Source organism: Homo sapiens, chromosome 3, assembly GCF_000001405.40.
Source record: "Homo sapiens chromosome 3, GRCh38.p14 Primary Assembly".
NCBI lineage: Eukaryota > Metazoa > Chordata > Mammalia > Primates > Hominidae > Homo > Homo sapiens.
This window is the reverse complement of record NC_000003.12, coordinates 101844192-101862670: the sequence shown is the minus strand read 5'-3', so window position 1 is coordinate 101862670 and position 18479 is coordinate 101844192. Positions and strand designations below refer to the sequence as shown.

At 41.3% G+C, this 18479-nt stretch overlaps 1 protein-coding gene across 2 annotated transcripts in view, besides 6 other annotated features; it reads right to left on the bottom strand.

Annotated features, from left to right (window-relative positions):
* Positions 1-1648: 1648 nt before the first annotated feature.
* NFKBIZ (NFKB inhibitor zeta) overlaps positions 1649-18479 on the bottom strand; it is a 33033-nt gene continuing 16202 nt past the window's right edge. Inside the window, exons 1-12 of one of the 2 annotated variants that reach the window (NM_031419.4) lie at positions 12754-13157; positions 10447-10586; positions 9903-9933; positions 9682-9785; positions 8808-9580; positions 7988-8093; positions 7463-7609; positions 7213-7276; positions 6769-6938; positions 5488-5598; positions 5212-5379; positions 1649-3353 (exon numbers count right to left, since the gene is read on the bottom strand). In NM_031419.4, coding sequence (NP_113607.1) covers positions 3300-3353; positions 5212-5379; positions 5488-5598; positions 6769-6938; positions 7213-7276; positions 7463-7609; positions 7988-8093; positions 8808-9580; positions 9682-9785; positions 9903-9933; positions 10447-10586; positions 12754-13042 — 2157 coding nt within the window. In that variant the 5' untranslated portion in view covers positions 13043-13157 and the 3' untranslated portion in view covers positions 1649-3299. Of the gene's footprint in view, positions 3354-5211; positions 5380-5487; positions 5599-6768; positions 6939-7212; positions 7277-7462; positions 7610-7987; positions 8094-8807; positions 9581-9681; positions 9786-9902; positions 9934-10446; positions 10587-12753; positions 13158-18479 lie in introns of those variants that run through there. The other variant, NM_001005474.3, reaches the window with a different exon arrangement.
* Positions 12479-13678: a silencer, noted in NCBI's record as "silent region_14579". NCBI's record gives its function as "represses an Ori minimal core promoter by ATAC-STARR-seq in GM12878 lymphoblastoid cells {active_cell/tissue: GM12878}" and the evidence as "EXISTENCE:reporter gene assay evidence [ECO:0000049][PMID:35858748]".
* Positions 12479-14098: a biological region, named in NCBI's record as "Sharpr-MPRA regulatory region 7874".
* Positions 13172-13466: an enhancer, noted in NCBI's record as "tiled region #7874; HepG2 Activating DNase unmatched - State 1:Tss, and K562 Activating DNase unmatched - State 1:Tss". NCBI's record gives its function as "activates a minimal TATA promoter and a strong SV40 promoter by Sharpr-MPRA in HepG2 and K562 cells {active_cell/tissue: HepG2 | K562}" and the evidence as "EXISTENCE:reporter gene assay evidence [ECO:0000049][PMID:27701403]".
* Positions 13259-13430: a silencer, noted in NCBI's record as "fragment chr3:101568085-101568256 (GRCh37/hg19 assembly coordinates)". NCBI's record gives its function as "represses an EF-1alpha promoter that drives an FKBP-Casp9 reporter gene in an ReSE screen in K562 erythroleukemia cells {active_cell/tissue: K562}" and the evidence as "EXISTENCE:reporter gene assay evidence [ECO:0000049][PMID:32094911]".
* Positions 13261-14098: an enhancer, noted in NCBI's record as "H3K27ac hESC enhancer chr3:101567417-101568254 (GRCh37/hg19 assembly coordinates)". NCBI's record gives its function as "activates a minimal SCP1, AML or CMV promoter by ChIP-STARR-seq in naive H9 embryonic stem cells {active_cell/tissue: H9 hESC(naive)}" and the evidence as "EXISTENCE:reporter gene assay evidence [ECO:0000049][PMID:30033119]".
* Positions 15557-15686: an enhancer, noted in NCBI's record as "active region_20185". NCBI's record gives its function as "activates an Ori minimal core promoter by ATAC-STARR-seq in GM12878 lymphoblastoid cells {active_cell/tissue: GM12878}" and the evidence as "EXISTENCE:reporter gene assay evidence [ECO:0000049][PMID:35858748]".

Sequence of the window (18479 nt, the reverse complement as noted above, 5' to 3'; positions counted from 1 at the left end):
AGACAGACTGCCTGATTTTTTTCCTTAATGAGTCCAACTATGCCCATGCCCATTTTCATTAACATATCATCCATGTCACTGTGAAATCATGTGGCAGAATTAAATTCAGAACCATGATAGCCAATAATTCATTAGTAATTAATAGTATAACTCTGGCTCAAAACATCACCTCCCCCAACAAAACCAGTGACTCTAACCAGGATTGGCATATATTCGTTCATTCAACCAATATTTTATGAACTATTTCCATGTGCCAGGCACTGTGCTAGGCACTGAAGTTGCAGCAATGAGCACACAGTCTTGGCTTCTGTGAGGCTTTAAGATGTATTCAATCAAGAGCCATTTCCCATATTCCTGTGGCAGATATCACGCACCAATCACAGCAACCTCTCCTGAAGGTTCAATCCAGCAACCTTCTCCTGAAGCCCCTACGAGCCTGAGGATCTTTCTCAACTTGATACTCAAAAATATTACCAGTCAGAGGTGGAACACAAGATGAACCTTATTGGCCACTTCCAGAGTCTAACTAACTATATTAAAATCACCTGCTATTCCCACAGACGCCTATGCTTTGGTTCATGCTGTTTGTTTCTTTCATCTGCCTCTCCTCCCTTTATATGAACATCCAAATCAACTATTCAGAAGATACAGTTCAAATGCTCTACCTTGAATCCTCCCCAGTCAGAAAGAAATGTCCCTTCTGAATCTCTTTTTAAATGCTATTTAACATAGTTTACCTAATAAAGTACATGCCATGTCTCTCACGTAAACATCTTAAGGCTAAGAAATGTCTTATATGTCTTAGCCTCAAATTATTTACATCTTTGCACACACACACACGCACACACAAACATACTTGCTAGATACTGGTTCAACTATGAGAGAATTTGGGATTAAGAGAGAACATAGAAGCTCACTTGGGTAAAGCTCACTGTAGGGCTATGTTCAGTGGGAGTACATCATTTCTGCTGTTCTGGTTAACAAGTTGCATTTGCAAAGCAAATTACCCAAGATTTTGTTATACGAAAGAAGAAAAGTATGTGCAGAAATGAAACTAAAGTGGATTCTTGTGAGTCATGGTCTTCTAAAGGTTGTGAAGCCCCAAATATTGCACACAGCATTTGTGTGTATACATATATTTGCATTTTCCAGGGAAAGGATTCATAGCTTTCACCAGATTCTCAAAACAGCTGTAAGAACTAGAATATATGTGCAATAATTGTAACAACATACTGACAGATATTGATGTGTTTGTTCTCACACGTCAAAATGGCTTGCTGGCAAAGGGAAGAACCTTTCCCAGGTTTACATCTCTCTAAGGATGATCCTGGTAATCTCCAAACTGTTATTCCTATGATTCACTGCTCCCACTTAGCTTTTTTTTTTTTTTTTAAGCATCTAAACATGTGAATGATCGACAGCATCTATTAAACTTCCATGATAATTTCAAAACCTAACAGACTTCTCCTAGTAAACTTAGCAAATAGATTTTGATGTTAAATCTTGTATACTTTCAGGAAACATGTTCTCCAAAAAACCCAAATTAACATAAATTAACTAACTCAAAGGTATTTAAAATCATCAATAGTACTTTTTCTATCTAGGGAAATAAGGCACTAGGAAAAGAAAATGCATGTAAGACAAATAATATTAGTGAATTAGTTTATTTAAAACCATCAGTTTTTCCAATGTGAATGGACTGGTTCATATCACACCATATTTAGAGATACAAGGTGATTATAACTAACGTGTCTACAAGACATACTGGGTCAAACAATGTGATCAATCCAAAGGGTATCTTTTTAAAAAGAATTTAAGTACTCAGCTGCAAAGATAAGTTCACTAATGAGATTTTCTTTTTTTTTTTTTTTAAAAAAAAAAGGTTTTTAATGAGTCAAATTTATTACAAAAACTTAGTGTGTAATCAAAGCCAAATACATTCCTCAGGCATGCCAGCGGCAAGCAAAATAATGTTAATAGAATGTTATTAAAAAATAAAACTTTTTCTGAATGATATATATAAAACATCATGGCACATTATCATCATTTGACAACAGAAAACAGGAAGATATGTTTCAATACTGACTTTTTGTTGTTTCAATAAAGGTAAAAAAACAAAAATTTCAACAGAACACATAAATTAGAAATTCTAGAGGGTAAGCCATAAAGAGGTGTTCTCTTCCATGCAACTGCCAGCCGGGCATGGTGGCTCACTCCTGTAATCCCAGCATTTTGGGAGACTAAGGCAGGCAGATGGCATGAGCTCAGGAGTTCAAGACCAGCCTGGGCAAGGTGGCAAGATCCTGCCTGTACAAAAAATAAAAAATTAGCCAGGCGAGGAGTGCACACCTGTAGTTCCAGTTACTCAGAAGGCTCAGGTAGGAGGATCACTTGAGCCCAAGTCAAGGCTGAAGTGAGCCAAGATCATGCCACTGTACTCCAGCCTGGGCGCCAGAGCAAGACCCTGTCTCGGGAGAAAAAAAAAAAAAAGCATGCAATTCCCTACAAATAATGTATAATTTCAATGCATGAGAAAAAGCATCTTTACAATTCGAATATATCTTTCAGCCAGTAAAGGAACAACTCCGTAACTCCCCATCTGCTTTATCTACAAAGACTTAGTGATTACACAATAAAAACTCCTTAGTAAGAATTGTAAAATTTTTTTAAATAGCAACAATTCACTTGTTCTTTTCTATTTTATGGACTTATACATTTCAAATATGACCATGTTAACAACCAAGTATGTACAATATTTTTAAGGACAAAAATAACAATTATATACAGTTTGCAAAGATCAAATTCTAACCATGGACACCTTTCATCTAGTCCAATGACTGAAGCCTGTCCAACGCCAGTAACTCCCAGGGACTAAGGCCAAATGAAGCCTCAATGCTGTATTTACCTTTTTCCTTTCACATGCTTTTTCTTAAAGAAACATTTACAATTTACCTGCTTTGAAACTGTCAATAGCTATATTAATAATGTTTTGTGCCACAAATCAAAGTCCTTTCCTACTCAAAAGCTACTGTTAATTGAAGGCAATGTTACCATTGAGATCAAATTCAGATGTCTAGATCCCAGATACCTGGGTATGAAATATGCAAATCTGCCAAGAGAAATTAGATATTTTTCTTCTTTTCTTTTAATATAACCCACTATATAATAGTGAACTAAATATGTTTGTTTCATAGAAACAACTTACATTTGCCAATATAAGGCAAATGGTCTATGTACAGATACATCAGGACTGCCTAACTGACAGTGAGTGTTGCTAGCCAGGCTCCAAGCTAATGGAGCTAATACGGTGGAGCTCTCTGCTGAATGGACTTTCCCTTCAGGATACGTCGGATCTGGAAGAGAAACAAATAAAATTTGTGAGGTTTATTTCTTATGGCCAATGTGGTGTATTTCCTTCTGAGTTTCATTCCTTTCTTATACCATCTACACTACTCCTATTAACTTGTAAGTATACGAAGAAATACACACAATATTTCTCAAGATTTTGAGGTGACTTTTAAAAATACTAAACTCCTTTTAAACTTATTTCAGATCTCTTATAATAATCTTTGAGTTCAAGAAAGTAAAACATCTCCACTAAAAATTATCTGAAGTTGAAAATCTCCATAAACTTAACACCTATATTCTTTTCCTAATCTTTACTCTTGCTATTTGTGAGAACATTTAACATAAGACAGTAATTAAGGCATATTATAATATCTCACTTATCTTGAAGTCAGCCTCAACTAACAGGAACAGAAAACCCACATTTTATGATACACACACAAGTAAATCCTTAATACCATTCAAGTCAAAACAGCTGTCATGATATCCAAGTATTAAAGCATCTACACGTAACTTCATGGATCACAGAAAAGATCCCGGCTCATTCAGAGTGATTCATTTTACATCCCAGTCTGACAAATTTTATTTTCTATCTCTCAGCCTCCAGCAGATTAGAAGCAACAATTTAGATGAAAGGCGATTGGGGTAGGGGATACAACTGATAGCTGCTAGAAGGAAACACACGACCACAGTATGACAATAAAAGCCAGGGAAAAGAGCCTCTACCTGCCCAACACACACAAAATACCAAAGCAAAAAGGAGATAATCTGGGAACATTTAATGAAGAGTTAAATGGCTTAATATCTCAATGATCCCTGAGAGCATAGTTATATGACTGCACACCACAAACAGTGAAGTAGAAGCAAATACTGGGCTTAGGACTCTGCCTTTTACAAGTTAATGATGGTTCTGGTCCTTGGAACCTCTCTGAATATCAATTTTCTCAGTTGAAACTTGAAACTTGTAAAGTTCTTCTAACTATTAAATGATATACATGAAAACTTTTTACAAACTATAGAAATATTCTTTCTAAATTACAAAGAGCTCTATAAATAGGGGCTACTATAACATTATGGTCATAATGACAGCTCAGAATCAAAGAAAAAGCTAAACTGCATTCCACGTATTTTATTTTGTGATTAGTAAAGTATGTAATGACCTACCCACAGCCACAATCCCCCTCATTCCTCCCAGGAAAAGAGTTCCATCAAAAACATTTTAAGTTCTTGAAAGAATAAGTTCTTGTTATCTAAAAAGTTTACTCATGAAACTATTCAATACTCAATGATAATATATAACCATATTTGATGAGTAAAGCATTAAATATGCTGTTTAAAACAAAATATTTCTAGGTTTGAAATTACATAAGTAATTTTTCCATTTTTTGTTCAGTATCACTTCATAGACAGAAATAATTCTAACTATTGATGTTCACTGATCTCTTACTCTGTACCCGGGACTATTGTGAGCACTCCACATGTAACAACTCATTTAATATCCACAATATTTGAAGGCTCATACATTACAAGACTAAGATTCTCTTTCCTTGGTATCTGCAGGAACCTTGGTATCTTCTCTTTCCGAACCTTAAACCATTCTGACTTACTCTAACCCTAAGTGTGTGTCACAGAATACTACCTGACCTCTAACCATTTTGAGTCTATGGATAATCCCTCAAATTTCTTAATTGCTGTTTCCAAACGAAGAGTAACTCCACAATGCTATGACAGCTACCGTGAGACACAGACACTGATAGAGTCCACCTGAAGAGCAACAGCTGGCCTTCGCCCTGCACAGCCTCATCTCCCTTTCTGTTTCAGACTGCAGTGCCAAAAAATACTTCCTCTCCCTCCTGTGCCTCTCACCTGTTCTCCCACAGGGCCATCGGGAACCAAATGCACTGGCTGTTCGTTCTCCAAGTTCCGAGTACTTGGGTCTGCTCCCTTCCTCATCAACAGGCGGACAGCATCTAATTGTGTCAACCGATACTGCAAGCTGGCAGCAACATGGAGGGCAGTGTTGCCATTGTAAGCCTGAAGACAAAGAAATGAATTATCAGACATCAGGAAGGGGGAAATTTCATGAAAGGAGCTCAAAAACTTTGAGAGGGTGTACAGAAGGCCATTCCAACTCTGGTGTACCTTTGCATTCACAAAAGACAGGCAACTGGGCAGCTCCAAAAAGAGGCGAATGAGTTCCAGATTTGCTTCTTCAGCTGCCAAATGCAGGGCTGTGCGGCCACTTTTGCGATCCTTGTCAAAGGCAAGAGGGAGGAAAAAAAAAAAAAAAAATCCAGATACTATGCCTCAGAATACACTTTTCACCCAGTCTCCTGAATGTCTGATTCAGCTTCAGAGACTCACTTTGAATGCTCCCTTCTCCAAAATGCCTTGCTTAATCCCAAGCTAAATGGAATCTTTTATTCCTCTTAAATTTCCTATTAATTTGTCTATATGCCTCTTGTCACAATGTACCTTTTTATACAGGGTGGCCATAAAATGTAGAAAAATAAATATTTTTAAATCCTATGTCATAACCTATCAGTAAACCATTTATTATGTATTCACCTACATTTCCAGATTTGGTAGCCTCCCTGTAGAGTTATATTTAGCTATATCTCTCACCTATTTTACTAGTCAGTAAGCCTCAAGGGTCCAAATGGTTTATGACTTAGGCATTTTTCCCCCATATACTCAGTGAATAAAACCAAAATTTTAAAAGAATAAACTATTTTCCAGCTTAAAAACCAGAAGATGAATTCCACATCCTACAACAATGAAGAAATCCTTACAAAAAGCACCTTTATTCTCAGTGTATGAAAATGGAAGCCAAAATGACAATATCAATTTCAAGCATTTTCTTTACCTTTCAAAGACTATTTATTTTATACCTAAATGACCTTTTGGATAATAATTCATGGATTTAAAGCAAATCAAGAAAACACATGAAATGATCTGTTAAAATCTGGGCTTCTTGGCCGGGCGCGGTGGCTCACGCCTGTAATCCCAGCACTTCGGGAGGCCGAGGCGGGCAGATCACGAGGTCAGGAGATCGAGACCATCCTGGCTAACATGGTGAAACCCCGTCTCTACTAAAAATACAAAAAATTAGCTGGGTGTGGTGGTAGGCACCTGTAGTCCCAGCTACTGGGCAGGCTGAGGCAGGAGAATCGCTTGAACCAGGGAGTCGGAGGTTGCAGTGAGCCAAGATCGCACCACTGCATTCCAGCCTGGGCGACACAGTGAGACTCTGTCTCAAAAAAAAAAAAAATTCTGGGCTTCTTAACCACCCATACATTGCTACTCACACCATTAATTTCAGAAAAAAAAGAAAGAAGTTTGAATCTGTACTTGGAAGCAAGGTCTTTTGCTATATAACCAGTTTCTCCCCTACCCCATCTTAAACCTTTTCTGTGAATTTACCTTCGCTTCCACCGCTGCTCCCATTTGAATTAGGCACTTAATGGTATCAACCAGACTCTTATTCTTCAGTAAAAGCTCCTGAACTTCAGGTGAATGAGGCTGTTGATTTCTCTGGAGTTCATGGACCACAGCATTGTGGGCTATGACTGCACAGTGAAGGGGAGTCAGGCCTAGAAGAAAAGTATAATCAAGCAGTGGTCAAGCATCCCATCAGGTCTTTTGGTCCTTCTATAATGACAAATGCTGAGGATGGCCTCTAACTTAACCTATAAATGGGCTCCACAAGAACTAGTAAGGCAATCTGAATATTGTCTCTTTTTGGGTCTAATTTTACCTACAGAATATTTTAGCTTTAATTACCTTCCTTCTTAGTATACTTAGCACCCTTAGACCTTATGGTTCCCCCTAAGTGGCTCTGAATCTAATAAAGTTTCAGTTGCTTACCATCATAGTTAGTTGCCTCAAGATCCACAAACTGATTACTTCCCACTGCTCCCTTCTGAATCGCCTGCAGATTTTAAAAACAGACATCTGTTAGCTACATAAGCTGCGCATATACCTATTAGAATCCCCAAGAAATGAATAAGTTAACTCAAAATAGATCATTGCAACAGGCAACCTATATCCGACTTCTAATATCCAACTCTATCTCTCTGGCCTTGCAATGATGGAAGCCTGGTTTGCTGCCTCTTACCTGAAGCACCTGGGAGTGGCCCTTCTCAGCACACACATGCAGAGGTGTTCTTCCCCAGCAGTCTGTGGTGTTCACCTGTGCCCCGATGTTCACCAGATCCTGCACAATGAGATGCTGATTGGCAGCCACTGCCACCTGAAAGGCACTCTGTGGATATCCAGAGGAAAAAAGATATTTTAAACATACAATGTTATCATAACAAGGAATATGAAACTAAACTATGACTGAGGGAAAAACCCACAGAGAGAAAATAAATCCTTTGAATAAGCAATCAGATACTGTAAGACAAGGAAACTAAAGTAAGCCTAGGGTGTGGCTTTATTACTCTCAGTGTTTGGTCAAACAGCTACAAAGTTAACATTAATAACTTCAAGGTTGATGGTAGCAAAAAGTCAACATCTCAAAGTTAATATTAACTAAACTCTCTTGATCTTGAGCTCTAAGATGATCTACACATAAGGCTGGTCATCATTCACTTCACCATGACCCCCTCTTTGCCATTTCAGACTCTGTCAAGGTCCTCACCTGTCCATTGTGCTCTTTAATATCCAGCATGTGAAGTGCATTCATCTTTCTTGCAAGAACATAGGAAAGTGCCCTTCTCCCTTGGGCAACAGCAATATGAAGGAACCTGGGGAACATGGAAAGGAAAGCGGGTGAATCACTTCTGATTTCACTAAGTTGTTCTTTTGAAAAAAAAAAAAAAATCTTCCTTTAGCCCCCTTTTTATATATTGGTACACTCAAATGAAACATTACAAAGCATAATTTGTCTTTTCTGCTACATTGATAATACACCCCAGTTGGAACAGGATGGGTTAGGCTATCAGAAATAAGAAAAAGAAGAATGTCAAGCACCATACTGATCAACTTAAATCTATTATTTTTAATACTCATAAAACCCCTATACAAGAGGTATTATCATTTTACACGTCAAGGAACTGAGACCTAAGGAGGTTAAATAACTTGCCCAAGGCCACAAAGACATCAGGACAGATTAAGATCAATCTACAAACCAACTCACAGTTTATCCCTAATCATGATCTAACTGTTTCTGTTCTATAGACATAGTCTACGCTGGTCTTCCAAACTCAATTAATCAAGAAGATACAGATATTTTTATCAATTTAGAACAGATTATCTGTTCAGCCAAAAAATTTTTTGAAGGAAAACCCTTTCTTGACATACTAGCTATCACTGAGTGGCGGTTTCTATCTACACCAGTCATCTTGGTTAGCCAACCACTAACTAAGGTATACCTTGTTATACCCTAGAAAAATTATATGCTCACTAGTCCAACAAGTGTGGCTTACCTAATTAAGAACATGAGATAAAAGAATACTCACGTGTCACCATCTGCATCCTTTGAAAGAAACTGGTCTTGGGAAATATTTGCCAATTTGCTTTCTTCCTGCTCCACCTGCCACTGAAAAAGTGATTTCCCTAACTGTGTGGTGTTCATTGGATTTCCCATGTTTGAGAATGGCAGTGAAGTGTTTGAAGAGTCAGAGGCCATCTCGTGCCCCACCATGGCCTCACAGGCGCTGCTGGGCATCATGCTGAAGCTGTGCAAGTGAGCATCATTTTGCTGCTGAACACTGGAGGAAGTCTGCATGGGATTAGCAATATTCTCAGATTCCCTTTGATCACCAAGAAGGGAAACTAAGCTTTGGTTTGGGCAAAACTGTGATTCTGGACCATCAAAGAGGTTTGGTTCATAAGCGGGGGACTGGGGAGGTATGGGAAAAGGACTGTATTCCAGAGTTGGTTTGTGGGTGTAGTGTGGCTGCTGCTCTACATGCTGGTTCTGTGGAGAATACTGGTACAGGGAAGCCTGGTCTATCATTTGTTGGGAGCCCCTGACTTGGAATGGTTGGCATTTCTGAGGTGGAGAAAAGACCTGCCCTCCATGGAAGTCCTGACACTGCTCTGCGGGGGAGCTCTGAGGGACCACCACGGGGTTCAGCCAGCTAACTTGAACTGTGTTCAGGGAAACGGGGCTGCATTCATTCTTAATGTTGATAATGTTCTGAAGCAGATCAGCACTGCTCTCCTGTTTGGGTTCATTGAGATGAACATCTTCCATGCTCTCCCCGGGCGTTGGTGTTTGAGGTGGTGTCTGGAAAGAAGGAAAATGCAACTTGCACACTCACTTCCTTCTAAAATTATCCCAGGAATAATTTCCAAAGGATAGTCAGAGGAAAATGGTGAGATACTTACCAAAAATTGGGAATGCAACAGAGCTGGCCTTTTGCAAGCAGGTCCATCAGACAACGAATCGGGCCCTTTCCTTTTCCCACTGTATGATACTGTGTTCTTCAATTCTGTACCCAAAGGAATACAGCCTCTGTCATCATTTTATTTTATAAATGTTACCCATAATTACACTCTATTATTTACTCCAAAGCCCTGAAAAAATTACAAATACAAGTAACTCTTACCTCTGAACTGTTCTATGTTCACACCTTGTGTCTATAAAGAAAAAAGTTTCCAATTTAGTGTATACAAAATGACTTCCTCTTAATATACATCAGTAAGTAGGCTTATCTCTACCACCCTTTATAGCTTACCATAAATCTCTGATATGGTTTTTCTATCAATATTGATTTTCTATATCAATTTTTATTCTATCTTGCGACTTCCTCATTTTCACTTTCACCTTAGCTCAACGCAGGTCAAGATGAAATTAATAAGACCATTTGATTTTTCCCTTTCTAGTTAAAATGTTCCATTTCAGTTGAGCCTCTGAACTTGCCTTCATTTATTTATTCATTGAGTTTCTCTTGCCCACCTACCAGGTGTCTGGCACTGGGCTAAGGAGGATACAACAGACCAGACAAATATGGTCTCTGTCCTATGGACTTTGTCATCTTATGAAAAATTTCAAGTGACTTACTTGATGACTGGACCTAGGTCATCATAATAACCCTGACAGACTAACCCCTCTCCCCAACTCTATACTCAAAACAGAAAAATAGATGTCACCTTAAAATCATCCACAGCTTGGCCAGAAGCCTTCTGTTTATGACTTCGGATGTGCAACAGGAGTTCCTTCACTGAGTTCTTTACCCGAACACCTTGAAAGGGGCCTCTCTGCTGCCTGCCAACCCCCATATGGGGCTCAACTGTTCAAAAGAAAACAAAACATATTCCTGGTTAAATATCTTCACAGACATAAACGTTAATAATCCCAAAAGTATAGCTGTTGCCTAATGTATAAAGTCCCCAAGCAGCACATTGCAAAACCTTTCCAACTTGCTCTGGTCAATCAATGGCCTTGTGAGTCCCGAGCTCTGCTCAAAGGTCCTAAGTTGCCTGATACCTTTCTCCACTGGGTACCCTAAGAAATTAAAGTTCATAAAAATTTGGTCAAGGATCCTCAGAGCCAATAGGTAAACCCAAATTAAGCCTCTCTATCTCTCAGCTCTAACCACCCATGAGAGTGGATCACATTTTTTTCTCAGCCCTAACCACCCATGAGAATGGATGACAGATTTTGCCATCCTGACTCTCATAGTTCTATAATTATTCTTGACTTTGGAAAAACTTTGGGGAGCAAGTGATAAATGATGCACTTTTAGCTTTTTAAACCAATGGTTTTATGTTCACATAGAAATTTTAAAGTCTATCAATTCCGCTTACCTAAGAAGGCACAAAACAACTTCTTTCAAAGATCTCTATGTACGAAAACCTGACAATTAACAACGTCTTAGATTTATGTCTTATTATTTCCTTCAATTCAACTGTGCCAAAAAAGCTGCTTAAATTCACTGAGCTTAAACACATTTCTACATATGCACACAGGATTTCCCCTCATTGACTGTTTTTGGAATTACTTACACAGGTCTTCTAAGTAAAAAGGAAATATGCTTGTTTCACTTTTAAACTTTGAAATACACTTTAGCATTTGGTATACAAGTACAGTACTCCACTTCTGATCACTATTATGTCACAACCTCTTAGTATGTGTGTTGAACACAAATTCACAAAGTCAGGAAATGAATAATTCAGCCGCTCCATCAAGTGTACAAAAATAAGATGGGGCAAGAAACAACGCATAATTTGAACATCTGTATCTATCATAAATACATGAGATAAACAGTTCAATGATAGGGTAAGTGAAACATTAGTTGGCTTTATTTTTAAGTTTAGGGATTTCAAGAGATACCAGAATTGCCAGAATCTAACACAGCATTTTTCTGGAATGACAGCAGTTCATAATCCAACGTCACAGAAAGAAAAAAATGCAGTTTCAGAAATCCCCTGTGGCTGTGTGGTAAACCAAGGGACCAGCAGAACAGTTTCAGCCAGATGAAGGCCAAGTGGGTAAGAAAAGGTCCTAAACACATATTCTTTCTGGATCTGCTACGCAGTGGTTTAAATCGCTTTTCGCATGATTTTAAATGACTTAAAATGAAAATGAGATATCACTTTTTAAAATAAATGACAACCAAAACAGGAGTGGCTAAGAGTGGGAAACACCGGAAAGAGACGTTCTTTAAAATCATGCTAATTACTCTCAACGTTCAATTATCGAGGCGTTTTTCTAGCCTACCCACAGGGGCATCCTGTTTTCCCCCAAATTATGCAACTCGGTTCACTAAGAAAGGAAACCAATTCGCAGCCCATGAAAGATAACATTACGTCTTTCTCTGCTAGATATGGCTTATCCATTTTTTTTAAGGCACACACAACAAAAACAAGACCGCAAAAATTCCGGGCAGACTTCCGAAACTCGCCAAACTAAAGGCATAACTTGAGTTGGTTTTCAGCCCGGCTTCACCTTGATAACAGCAGTTTCCTTTTCTTTGACGGTCAAGTCTTTTTACTGAAAAATTCCATAAAAACTGAGAAATAAGTCATGACCTTTAACGCTATTCCCAAACCCTTATCCTCTGCTACAGCTTTCCACTAAAATATTCACAAGAAGAAAATTACACCTACATCAGACCCCAAATCTCATCATAGTTTATTAATTATGACTCAACAAAGCTGCTTCTTAGAGAGCGAGCGATCTCCTGGTCACTCGCCCGGCAGTCAGAGCTCGGCCGAGCGGTTTCTGAAGCCCCCCCGAGGCCCGCGGGAGGGAGCCGGTTCCGCGGGCCGGCGAAGGGCGTGTAGGTCAGGCAGGCGCCCGGCCCGGGCAAGGCGGGGAGTGGTAATTGATGGCTAAGGTGCGTACGTCCTAGCTCTAAGGAGGGCGCAGGGGCCACCCTCCATCTGGGGAGTCCCGCTCCCAACCTCCTAGGCGTGCGCGCCCCGAGTACGCAGCGGTGCGGGGCCGGCGGGTACCTGGCTGGCGCTCGGCGCGGGCGCCGCCTCTCGACCGGGACTCCACGGCGCCGCAGGAGGACACCGACGAGGCAGAGGAGAAGTCGGAGGAGTCGGAGCCGGGCGAGCCGGGCGCCGAGGGGCCCAAGACCGAGCAGCTGGCGTCGCAGGCGCCCGGGGCGGCGGCGGGCGGCGACGCGCCGTAGAAGTAGCTCAGGTTGAGCGGGCTGGTCATGAGGCCGCAGCCGCCCGCCGCGTCCCGCAGCCCCTCTCCGCCGCGGCTGTCGTCCAGCAGCTTGTCCACAATCATGCTCCCAGGCTGGGCGCTCGAGGACCCCGACACCTGCGCCACCGGCTCGCTGCGCGCGGCTGCCTCCCGGGCTGGCTCAGGGAGCTGTCGGCGGGCGGACGGCGCGGGCCAGTACGGGCGCGGCGCGGGACTGCCAGGGTATTTAACGGGCCGCAGCGCTCGCCGACCTCCCCGGCGCCCGGCCCGGCCATTGGCGGTGCCCGGGCCGCCTCCCAGCCCCTCCTCCGGATGCGTCCGATTTCCAGTAAAATGTACAGGATGAGGCAATGCGCCCTCCGCCCTCCGCCCTCGCCCCGCCCGCCCGGCTCCGCCCAGACCGACCGGTTGTTTGCCTGCCCTTCACCGGGAAACCCCGACAGCGCGCGGCTTCCAGCCTCCCGCTTCCCGCCTCCCGCCTCCCGCCTCCCGCCTCCGGGACCCCGTCCCTCGCCCGGGCCATCCCTGCCCTCTAGGCCCCCGCCGGGCCTGGGCGCCCGGGGAGAGGGCGCGCGGCGCAGGGCTGGGCCTGCAGAGGGAGGCGGGAGTCAGTGGAGGGAACCGGTTGGCCTGGTTCTTGGGGACTGGCAAGTCCTGGAAGGAGCGCGCCCCGCACCCCTCTGCCTGCCCCGGCGCGGCGAGCTGTTAGCCCAGTTAAGGCATCTCTGGAAGGTTCTTAAGGGCCTGTCTCCTCCGGCGCCCCAGCGTAGCCTCCCTTCTCAAACATAGCGTTTGTCGACGGTTTTAGGCAACATCCCGAACTGAAAGAGATGTTGGAGCATTTTTATGTTCTCAAATTATCTGCTGGGACGCAAATAATGTTTTAGGTGCAGCCATGAATAAAAAGTAATGCCACACTTCTGTATCCTTCAATACTAGAACAAAGCCATCTTAGCAAAATAATACACAAACATGTAGGTGCTGTAGTATATGTAGATATAACTTTTAAAATTCTGCATAGCTTTACACTATCTGATAAACTAACACAGTAATTTTGGCCTTTCCTATCTTGAATACTTTTTTCCAATGGATTTATACAACTATTTGTTCAAGTCCAACTAGCAAAAAATGCGGGAATGATAAGGTTAAGTACACACATGCTATGTTTAAATAAACCGATTATGATTAAATAACACGAGGGATACAAAGTTCAGTGAGCCACCTAAAAGGAGAAACAACAGGTCTGGTAGAGGAAAAAGGAGGTCAGGAGGAAAATCTTTGCAGGGGTGGTGGCATTTAAGATAGGTCCTAAAGGATGGGTGGGATTGGGGCCCACAGCATTTACAGAAAGAACAAGAGCAAAGAATTAAGGAGAGGGTTCATATTAGAGTGTATAGTCCCCTTTTACGATTGTCAAGAGGAGAAGATGGCATTAAATATAAAAGATAACTTGGTGCCTTTGGGTGGAGCACCTCCAGCAGCTGAGACACTGGAATTTTATTTAATAAACATTGAGAAAACATGAATTTTAGGTAGGCAAAATTAATCTGCAAGCAGTTGAGAGAAGATGAGGAGCCCAGAGGCCATTAGGATCCACTGCAGTAGCCCAGGAGAGAAATGACTGGGCACTGGGGCAGATACAGTGGGAAAGGAGAAAGTAAATTGACAGAAAGCAGAGCTGGGCAGCATTGCTAGGGCAGAACCCACAGGTCTCGCTCTTTTGGAGGGGGGGAGAAATGAAAGGGTCCCCAGTCAGGCCATGGCTTGGAGCCACGACCAGGTGAACAGGGCCACCAGCTCCAGATCACAAGGGATCACAGAGCAGAATGTTTGGGTTTTAGGACGAAGGGGGGGACACGATGAGTTTGGATTGTTACTCAGTATTAGTAGGTGGCATAAGACCCTGGTGGGGGTAGGTCCAAAGTAAATACAGCCATACCCCACAAAATGATGTTTAAGTCAATAATGAACTCCATGTACAATGGTGGTCCTGTAAGACTGTAATACCATATTTTTACTGTTTCTTTTCTATGTTTCCATATGTTTAGATAGACAAATACCTCTGTGTTACAGTTGCCTACAGTATTCAGTACAGTAACATGCTGTGCAGGTTTATAGACCAGGAGCAATAGACTATACCACAGAGCCTAGGTGACTAGCAGGCTAGACTATCTAGGTTTGTGCAAGTGCATTCCATAATGTTCAAACAACGACAAAATCACTTAACGACACATTTCTCAGAATGTAGCATCGTTAAGCAATGCATGACTGTATTTCCTTGTTTCTCACAAGTGTATTTCCCTAAAACTTCTTGCTGCCTCTCCCTCCAACTTTTTGATAACTTTAAAAAATAAAAAAGAAAACAAATCCCTTGGTTTATCTGTGGAAAACACAAGACTTCAGTAATTGCAATTCCTTGGAAACCAAAATCATTTAAAAGATGCTCCAAATAAGATGTTGAGTGTGATGGTTAATTTGATGTGTCAATTCGACTGGATTAAGGCATGCCCAGGCAGCTGGTACAACATCATTTTGGGGTATGTCTGTGAGAGTGTTTCTGGCAGATATTTGCATTTGAATCAGTAGACAGAGTAAAGTAAGATCCCCCTTCGCCAATGCGGGCAGGCATTCTGCAATCCACTGAGGGCCAGAATAGAACAAAAAGCCTGAAGCTATCTTCTTGAGCTGGGACATCCATCCTTTCCTACCCTTAGACATCAGCACTCCTGGTTCTTGGGCCTTCAGACTCTGACTAGGACTTACACCACCAGCTCACCTGGTTCTCAGGCCTTCAGGCTTGACCTAGAACTGCATCACCAGCTCTTCTGGTTCTTCAGCTTATGGATGGCAGATGGTGGGACTTGTTGGCCTGCATAATTGTGTGAGCCAATCCTTCATAATAAATCTCTTTCTACATATTTATATGTACCCTATTGGTTCTGTTTCTCTGGAGAACCCTAATACATTAGAGTTTCTCAATAAAATCTATTTGAATTTTGTTTTCTACCCACCAATATTTTATGTATAATAAAGGATTTAAATGCCCATTCAAATAAATCCGTAGAAAGTAATTTTTTACAAAATTAATTATCCTCCTGTTTTAATTAATTATCTTCCCATTTTACATGAGATATGAAAATTCAAGCCACAAATTCATGGCCTCTGGAGAACTTAATCTAGACCAAGATGGTCAACAAAAGACTAATGTTTCAAAACGAAGTTTTCTGTGCAATGCCAAAGCAATAGTACTGTTTGACAAGACCACAACCCCCAATGCCCAGAAGCCCTCCCATACACATCAAAAACAGTTAATATCGCTACAAAAAAATTTAAATGTACTTTGCTTTATGTAAATGTTGAAATACAAATTCAGTTTGATCTATTAAGTCGAATGATAGGATGCTGCCATTGTTCTAATCAAATATGGTTGAACACTCATGCTGTGGGAGACAGCCACCATGTTACGAGGACACTGTCTGGAAAAGTCAACTGAGGCCAACAGCCAGCACCAATATGCCCGCCATGTGAGTGAGCTACTTTGAAAGTAGATTCTCCAGCTGCACATCGGGCCTTCAGATGACTGCAGCTCTGGCCAACATCTTGACTATAGTCTTACGAGACACTTTGAACCAGAACCCTCAAAAACACTCAAGAGATTTCTGATGCACAAAAACTGTATACGAAATATGGGGCCTTGAGAATTTGTCCAGTTACACTGCTCCATCGAAAGCAAAGAAGAGATTGAAATCTTCATCTAACTGACTCTGAAGCCTCATCTTTTGCTTTAAAAAACGAGATTAGAGGATTCATTTACTCCAGGCTCAGAGGTACTGTCTACATCTAAAGATACTGAAAAAGATGAAATGATACATCAGAGAGTTCTGTGACAACTCATAGAGGGGAGAAATCTAATCCAAAGCTACTGGAAGAAACTGTAAAGAAGAAATAAAAATATGAGAACGCTATCTTTCCCCAGGCTTTATAAATGTTAATAATTTACCTTATTGTATCTTATGCAATAGAACATTTTTTAGTTTTATGGTGTCAATTAACATTGTAACACTATCTTGAGACCAATAATCCAGAGTTTCAAAAAAGGAATTGAGGGCTGGGCTGGGTGCAGTGGCTCACGCCTGTAATCCCAGCAATTTGGGAGGCCATGGCAGGAAGTATTGCTTGAGCCCAGAAGTTCAAGACCAGTCTGGGCAATATAATGAGACCCCATCTCTACATAAAATAAAAAATTTAAAAATTAGCTGGGCATGGTGGCACATGCCTGTGGTCCCAGCTACTTGGGAGGCCGAAGTGGGAGGATCACTTGAGCCCAAGAAGTCAAGGCTGCAGTAGGCTATGATCATACAACTGCACTCCAGCCTGGGTGACAGAGCAAGACCTTGTCTCAAAAAAAAAAAAAAAAAGGAATTGGATTTTTTTTTTCTTTTTTTGAGACAGAGTCTCGCTCTGTCACCCAGGCTGGACTGCAGTGGCACGATCTTGGATCACCACAAGCTCCGCCTCCCGGGTTCACGCCATTCTCCTGCCTTAGCCTCCCGAGTAGCTGGGACTACAGGTGCCCGCCACCACGCCCGGCTAATTTTTTGTATTTTTAATAGAGACGGGGTTTCACCGTGTCAGCCAGGATGGTCTCAATCTCCTGATCTCATGATCCCCCACTCCTCAGCCTCCCAAAGTGCTGAGATTACAGGCGTGAGCCACCGTGCCCGGCCAGAATTGGATTTTTAAGTGTAGATGTAATGAACTTTTGAAAAGCCAAAGACAATTTGGAACAGCTTTTCAAACTTGAGATGAAAAAGCCAGTATCTTACAGGATAAGTTATTGTACTGCTTTGGCTGAAGAAATGAACATCATAGGTGAAAGACCAATAAAGCCTGGTAGAGTTTATTTTGCTGAATATTTTCTAGATGAAAAGTCAGCAAAAGAAATCACAGCACTGCCACTTTGCAACAATGCAGCAGCTCACTGAATTAAAGACTTAACTGCAAACTGGTTTTGTCTGCAAAATTGCACTTTTGCCTTAGAAATGGATAGATCTATGGACTGTCTGGACTTGCTATTTCGGTTATATTCATTTCCAGCACCGGCCAGTCATCAAAGGTGTTTTATTTTAATGCATGACAACAAACACAAGGAATGCTGAAACATTCAAAATGTACAATAACTTTTCGAATCTCATCATTTATCCTGAAACAATTGTGTTTACATTTGAAATGATGGTACAAAAGCAATGGGTATAACTAATGGTGCCTTAAAACAAATCAAGGCAGCAGCAACAAAATGAACTAGTAATCATTGTATTCTTCACCACTGTCTACTTGCAGAAAGAAAAAGAATAAAAGCCAGTTTCACCTAAAAAGTCCTGGATGAAGCAGTAACAATATTAATTGACTCTTGTATACATCATTTTAATATTTTATGTGGCAAGATGGGAAATATGCATAGAAGTTTGTGCTGCATCCTGAAATATGACAATTGTCTCAAGGAAATGCACTTGTCTATTAG